The sequence below is a fragment of the Homo sapiens genome, chromosome 1 (genome assembly GCF_000001405.40).
Source record: "Homo sapiens chromosome 1, GRCh38.p14 Primary Assembly".
NCBI classification, from domain to species: Eukaryota; Metazoa; Chordata; class Mammalia; order Primates; family Hominidae; genus Homo; species Homo sapiens.
Genome location: NC_000001.11, coordinates 18,401,462 through 18,409,219, shown reverse-complemented (window position 1 = coordinate 18,409,219; position 7,758 = coordinate 18,401,462). Strand labels below are relative to the sequence as shown.

Here is a 7,758-nt window from a genome sequence, read left to right as displayed (position 1 = left end):
GCTCAGCCTCAGTCCAGTCCCTGAGTGTTCTCTGGAGACTTCCCGGGGCTGTGTCAGCCCTGGACATTCCTGGTCTGTTTGCTGTGTGCATCAGGAGTAAGGTGCATTCCTCTCTCACCTGGCTGAATCCCAGGCCTTGGGACGGGGCACCTGACCTTCCCAAGGTGGCATTTCAGGCCTTTCCTTTGTTCCCTGAAATTTTAGATTGGGCCTACCCGGGACAACCAGGTCAGCCTGGAGCAGGAGAAAGTCTCCAATTTCTTAACAGCTTTTCAAATGCTTCCCGGAGGAAGCAGCAAGGTCTGGGACGCTGGGGCTTGTGAACATCTGGTCACCAGCCCTCCTGCCCTGTCCTGCCCTCGCCTGCCCTGGAGTGGCTAGGGCGTGATGCTGGAGGTGGGCTGAGGTGTGACTGAAGCCGAGCTTTCGTCAACCCCTCTCTCTGCCACCATCCCCACATCCCTCAGAGCTGGTCCTCCGTAAACACTCCCAGAATGCTTTGTCCTCAGACCTTTGCCTGAGCCCGGAATGTGCCCCCACTCTGATTTTCTGGCCCAGAACAAGCCCGCTTTTTTTGAAGAAGCCTTTCCCATCAAAATTTATTTCTTGACCAGGTGCGGTGTTTCACAGCTATGATTCTAACACTTTGGGAGACTGGGGTGGGAGGATTGCTTGAGTCTAGGAGTTTAAGACCAGCCTGGACAACATAGTAAGACTGTTTCTACAAAAAAATTAAAAAATTAGCCGGGCATGATAGCATGCACCTGTGGTCCCAGCTACTCCGTAGGTTGAGGTGGGAGGATACTTGAGCCCGGGATGTTGAGGCTGCAGTGAGCCGTGATCACGCCTCTACACTCCGGCCTGGGTGACAAAGCGAGATCCCGTCTCCAAAAAAAAAAAGAAAAAAAAAATCAGTTCCTTTTCCTGTGACTTCATGGTTTTATTTGTACCTGTCTCTGCCACTCTCACCTGTGACATGGCCAGGTCTGATCAGGTGATGTTTTCCGGAGCCTGCAGGAGGGGAGGGAAGGCTAGGCTGGTAGGATCCAGAATGCCCACCCTCACTTCAAACAGAGCAGCTCCACTTCTTTCTGCTCTAAATTTGGGGGTGTGGCCTCAGTTTTTTCTCTAAATCTGAGTTTTGGGAACTGTGTGCTCCTCCAAGTCCCTTTCACTGGAGGATTCTGGGATCAGAGCTCCCAGAGGCAGTGGGATTCGGGGTAACCGGGGACTGACCAGCCTCCCCAGGCAGCACCTGGCATACAGAGGGGATTTGGAAATGTTTGCTGAGTTGAATTGACTAGATTCTGTTATGTCAGAAATGATGCAGTCCCCAGGAATGACAGAACCTGCCCGGAGGGGCTGACAACTGAAGCTTTCCAAAATACGAAAGCGACGGTCATCTCCCACCTCCTCCGGGGTGGGGCTGGGGCTCCGCCCGCAGACGGAACAGTAGGAAGCCACACATGGGAGGACAGTGCAGCAAGAGGTGCATGGACCTCGGCGTTTGGCAGACTAGGGTTCGAATCCTGACTCTTCCACCTACGAATGCAGAGAATGTAGGCAAGTTCCTGTTGCCCCGTGCCGCGGTTTCCTGATCTGTAAAATGGAAATTTTAACAGCATGAGCAGTCAGTGAGATGAGAGTCAGTGACATATAGAGGACTTAGCACAGGGCCTGGCTCGTGGTAAGGACTCAGTACATGTCAGCTGTTGTTGGGCTTGTTCTTGCCATCCTCTGGGTGGAGTCTCAGTGACTGAAGATGCAGGAAGGAGCCGTGGGCCCTCCCCAGTCACCGCCATTGCTTTAGGTCTCACATACACACTTCCTGAAGGGTTTGTCCCTGGAATGCGGGCCCCGGGGGTTTCTGCGGGCAGAGGAGGTTTCTGAGGTCAGAGGGGTCTGGGAAAGGCTGGGCTCAGCAGAGCTAAGCAGGTTTCTTTACTACACGGTTTCTCAGAAACCTGATGCAGCTTCCAGAAAAGACACAGCTGTGCGGTGCTTCCCAAACTCCCCCGGCCACAGAACCTCCTTGTTCCAGAAGCATCTTGTCAAACCAGATGCTGATTTGAGGAAGGCTGGTGCTGTGGGTTAGGGGCAGGGCTCAGGTTGGCGGTGATGGCCCCTTGTGATGCGGTTCCTGCCCACCTTCTCACCATAGTGGCTACGTCCTTCATGACGTGCCCCCAAACTCCAGCCACCGCAGGCTGTATGGCTGCCCCAGAAGGTGCTAGCTGCTGCCTCAGCTGTGGACCTTCTCTGTGTTCCTCTACCATCTCCTTCCCCTCTTGCTTAGTGAAGTCCTACTCATCCTTTACATCTCATCTCAAACCTGGCCTCCTCTGCAAAGCCTGTTTCAACCTCTGTGGGCAGAGTTACATACTGCCTATGTTCCCACCCTACCGTGTTCACCTATTCAAAGCCTTACCGCTACAATATCTCATGTATGTGCCTCCTTCATCATTAAATAATGAATTTCTCAAGGGCAGGGACCTTATCTCATCTCTAGTCTGGCCTGTAGACCTGGGGGTTGCACAGAATAAGTGCTCGATAAACAGGAGTTGTTACTTGGACATGTGTAGTAGTATTCAGGGACGTTGTCTAGCTTACTAGTTAAAGGCATAGTCACTGGCATCAGAAAGACCTGGGTTTGGATCCCAGCCTTATTCCTTGTTGATTGCATGAAGCAACTGACACAGAGCAAGGGCTCAGCAAATGGGGGTTTGTTGAATAAATAGTTCCTCAGGTTCTGGGTAGACAAAAGAACACTTTCACTTGTGTCTTCAGCCAGTTCCCATCTGTAAAATGGAGTGATAATAGTATCATAGGTTGTTGTGACATTTTCCTTTGAGATGGAGTTTCGCTCCTGTTGCCCAGGCTGAAGGTGGGGTTTCTCCGTGTTGGTCGGGCTGGCCTTGAACTCCCAACCTCAGGTGATCCGCCCGCCTTGGCTTCCCAAAGTGCTGGGATTACAGGTGTGAGCCACTGCACCCAGCCGGTTGTTGTGACAATTAAACAATTAATTTGTGTAGAGTGCTTAGCTCAGTGCCTGGCACTCAGTAAGCTCTCAGTAAATGCTGGATAGTATTATCATCACTGTTGTTATTAAAGATCCAGGTGAGAGTCTTGGCACCCAACTGCCCCCTCACCCCAACAATAACCCTGGTGGTACAGAATGTCCTGCCCTTGACCTGAAGGGCCAGTGCTTTCCCCAGGACAATACCTCCATGTCCCCAGCATCTCCTCCCCTCACCTGCCTTCTCCTTTTCCCAGGTCAGAGTCTGCTGCTCACAGCCCAGTGCTCCTCTCCATCAGCTCAGCTCAGCAGCCCTGACACAGCTGATTGGGAATTTGTTTTATTTCTGAGTGTGCCTCCCCTCTCTCCCCTACGAAAAAGCAATTAAACTTGTGTTTACCAGAGTGGGTGGCTGTAAACTGCCATTTGCCCATCTTATCCTGTTGAGCTGCCCCCATGTCCCACCTGCTTTGCTTAGGCTGGGACGGGAGATTTGCATAATCGTAATAACAGAACTCAGAAAAGTGGTGGGGTTGGGGGGAGTTGGTTTTACGCTGCAAATTGTGAGAACAGCTCTGGGGACCAGACTGACCCAGGAGGGCTGATGGGGTGTGTGGGGGGAGGGCATCTTCCCTAACTTAGAGGTGCTCCTACAGGGTCTTAGCCTTCTGTCACTATTGGATCTGGCAGGTCTCCAATTCTGACTCAGCCGAATCCATCCCTGGAGGCCTGGCCAGTCTCAGAGGGGCCACAGATACCTGCTGATTATGCTCCTCTCTGCATGTAGCCTTCAGTGGCTCCCCAGAGCCCCAGCCCCCATGTTTCCCATCTTATCCTGTCCTCTCTCCTGTATTCCTACATGGGGCCAGTATGGCAGAATTGAACACGTGCTTGGGATTTCAACTCCTGGCTATGCTATGGCCCCTGTTTAGGTTTCCCCAAAGTGGATCTTGAAAAAGGACTTGGGTGCAGGTAGTTTATCTGGGAGGGGATTCCAGGAAGCACAGTGAGGGAGTAGGGGGAGTGAACCAGGGAGGAGAGAAAAGTTTTTAAAATGTGCTAGTGAGTGGATCACAGCTGTGGGCAACTGGGCTCAAGCCCTTTGTGGTCTCTCTGAGACCCTGAGTGGAACACACCTTAGAGTTGTCCCCCTGAGGGCTGAGGAAGCTGGCAGACTTATGCACTGGATTGATGGCTCATTAATGGCCTCCCTGTGGTCCATACCCTTGTGGAGGCTTCTCCCACATTGACTCTAGGTGGGGCCATGTAACTTACTTTAGCCATTGGAACATCAGCAAACATGATGCCAGCAGAGGCTTGATGAACACTTAGAATTAGGGCTGGCCCTCTGGGACTGCTGCTGCTACCACATAAGAAGCCTGGGCTGTTCTGCCAGAGGCCATACAGAGGGGACTGAGGCACCCCAGCTCACAGCTGCCCCTACACAATAGAAACGCGAATGAAGTCATATGGGACCATCCAGTCCAGGCAAGGCACCAGATTACACCTGCATGAGTGGCTCCAGGCTAGATGAGCAGGAGAACCTTCCAGCTGAGCACAGTCCAATTGCAGAGTCATGAGCAGATATATGATTGCTATGATAAGCCGTCAAGTTTAGTGTTTATTATGCAGCAATAGATAACTGATACACTCACCAATTCCTATCCTTTATTGTTGTGGGTTGTTCTGGGGGTGTTAACTCCCAGGTGTTCCTGGCTGGCCCTGCACTTGGATTTGTATGTCCAGAGAAAGCCTTCAGTCAGAGAGATATCCTATTTTGAGGCAGGACATCATCTCGGGGTATGAGAACTGTTTATCAGAGCCTTAGGCAACTTCCGGGTGGGCTGAGTTGTTGGGACGGAGCACCAATAGCGCCTGCTACAGTCACCTGGCTCTGAGAATAATCAGAGAAGGCTTCACCCTGGAAGGTTCTGCTTCTAACAACTAAGCTTCATGAAGACAGACACCTGGACTGCCACCATCTAGAACAGTGCCTAGGTGTGCCATAAATAATCATTGGATGTAAGAATGGATGAAGTGTAAAGTTGACTTGAAGCTAAAGGATTTGTAGAAATTAACCAGGTGAACAGGGGCAGCCAGACATCCCTGGGCAGAAAGATCAGCACCAGGCCCCTGTGCCCAGGCCCATGTGACTGGAGTCTAGAGGGGAAGGAGAGTGCAGTACAAAGTGAGACCTGGGACATGTAGGACCTTAGAGACCCCCAGTACGGCTCCCCAGAGCAAATGGAGAGCCAAGGAAAGGTTGAGTTAGAGAAGGAGGCTTTGTTTGATTTGCTTTAGGAAAGACCACTCTGGCTGCTTTGTAGAGAAAGGTCTGGAGGAGCAGAGGCAGAAGGCAGGGGAGGAGGGCATCTCACAGTCCAGACAAAGCACAGACTTGGGTGGGTGTGGAGATGGACAGACATAGGTGGATCCAAGAGATACTGAGGAGGTGAAGTCAGTAGGCCTTGATCAAGGAGCCCAACAAGGGCTCGTTCTGACCTTCCAGCCCTACCTTTGCTCCTGGCTCCTTCCTGATTCATCCATCAATAGCATCTTCACTGGTAAGCCTTCCCCCCAGGCCACACTGGGGGCTCCTCCTCTGTGTCTCCAGGGTGCCTTTTTCTTCAATTATGGCACATCACACATGGAGGTCAGCTTTTAATAGTGCTGGGCTCATGGTAGCCACACCATAAATATTGTCCTACCTTCGTTCCTTCCTCCCTTCCCCCACTTCCTTTCTTCCCTCTCCATTTCCTTCTTTCCTTTTGCATTCACTAAACCTGGTATCAGGTCCCCTGCAATATGAAACCACCCCACATAGCAAAGAGGTGGTGTGGGGAAGGAGCAAAGAACGTGGCATTTGGGTTCAAAGGGATTTCAGCTCAAACCCAGCTCAACTTCTTATTAGCTCTTATTAGTGTGACTTGCTGTCTTGCTGAACCTCACTTTACTTACCTGTGAAATGGTGCTCATGCCTTACAGGACTGGCATAAGGAGAGGCAGGATTATAAGATGCAGCACATGTATCCTCGGCAAAGGAGGCTGTCTTTGTGTTTAACCCCAGATCCGAGGGCTGAGATTGACTTGATGGGACAGGGAGGAAGGGCTGCTTCTGTCTCTCTTTTCTCCTCGTAAAATGCGCAGCCTGGTTTCCTGAGGTTATTAAATGAGGAGCTGGAGTGATTAGGCTGTTCTCTGAGGCCTGGCTTACATCCCATTTTCATTTGTGAAGCCAGTTAGGAGGAGGCAATCTTTTTATTTTTTTCTTTTAAATTAAATTGGCAAAGTTCTGCAGGAATCTTTGAAATGTTCAGAGTGGTGGCTTTTTAAAATAAAAGGAAAGATAAAGGAAGCCATCCCAGTCCTTGGGTCACACAGGGATTGTGTGGCCCCAAACATTGTTTGAAATGACAACCGTCAGCAGATACCCAGGGACCCGCTTTGTTGTAGAGAGAGAATCCTAGGGTTTGTTATAAGGGGTTTTGCCCCACCGAGCCCTCTCAAGAGAGCACTTCCAAGGAGCTCAGTGCATTTTATATCCATTAGAGTTTCACTTGTCAAATCAGAGATGTAATAAAACCGGTCTCCGATGCTTCACAGAGAACGCATGTGAAGACGTTTTGATAAAGTTAAAAGTGTTCTACAAATGTAAGGTATTATTAGCAGTGGCTGCCATGCCCTGAGAGGGGAGGTGATTTTCCCAAGGTCACAGAGAAAGTGGGTGGAAGAGCCAGAAAAAAGAAGTGGAACCTCTTCTTTATCCCGAGGGTTGAGACCTTGTCTCGTTTTACTCAAGTTGTCTACATAGCACTAAAACAGGACCAGCACACAGCAAGTGCACCATGAATACTGCTCACTGAACAAATGAGTGAATGAGTGAATGATGCTCTAAAAGTCCTGGGAGCCTGAAGGACCCTCATAACTCATCTGTACAGGGTCTTCCCATCCCATAACAGGCCTGGACTGGCCCTTGTCTCTCTTTTTCAGCTCTCCGGGTATCTGTGCCCTTGGCCATGTGATTTTGCATTGCCTCTCACTAGTAGACAGAGAGCATTTCTCACCCTCTGACTGTGAACCTGGCCATGTGACTGGCTTTGGCCAATAAAACAAAGTGAGGCAGTGAGCCTAATTCTGAGTTTGGGACTGGAGACGCCTTGCATGGTTCCACTGGCCCTCTGCTGTAGTTGCTGGAGAATGTGCCCGAGCTAGCCAGCTAGAAGCAGAATGAGAAACATATGGAGCACAGCTGCCCTGGTCCAGCTGCCCAAGAGGAGTCCAGCCCAGAGCAGAGCTCCCCAGCCAACCTGCAGATGTGGGAGCTCAATAAATGCTTTTTGAAGGCTGGGCGTGGTAGCTCTCACCTGTAATCCCAGCACTCTGGGAAGTCAAAGCTGGTGGATTGCATGAGCCCAGGTATTTGAGATCAGTTTAGGCAACATGGTGAAACCCTGTCTCTACAAAAAATACAAAAATTAGTAGGGCATGGTGGTGCATGCCTGTAGTCCCAACTACTTGGGATGCTGAGGTGAGAGGATTGCTGAGCCCAGGAAGTCAAGGCTATAGTGAGCCATGTTTGTGTCATTGCACTCCAGCTCAGGTGACAAAGCGAGACCCTGTCTCAAGAAAACAAAAAAATGCTTTTTATTGTATATCACTGAGGTTTGGTGGGCATAATAGAGGCCATAGTTCACTATATACCACCCAATCCTCCAGGACTTCCCTAGCCTGGTTCAGTCTTT

The 7,758-nt window shown here is 50.5% G+C and overlaps 2 annotated features.

Annotated features, from left to right (window-relative positions):
* Positions 1,160–1,853: an enhancer, noted in NCBI's record as "H3K4me1 hESC enhancer chr1:18733861-18734554 (GRCh37/hg19 assembly coordinates)". NCBI's record gives its function as "activates a minimal SCP1, AML or CMV promoter by ChIP-STARR-seq in naive H9 embryonic stem cells {active_cell/tissue: H9 hESC(naive)}" and the evidence as "EXISTENCE:reporter gene assay evidence [ECO:0000049][PMID:30033119]".
* Positions 1,854–2,548: an enhancer, noted in NCBI's record as "H3K4me1 hESC enhancer chr1:18733166-18733860 (GRCh37/hg19 assembly coordinates)". NCBI's record gives its function as "activates a minimal SCP1, AML or CMV promoter by ChIP-STARR-seq in naive H9 embryonic stem cells {active_cell/tissue: H9 hESC(naive)}" and the evidence as "EXISTENCE:reporter gene assay evidence [ECO:0000049][PMID:30033119]".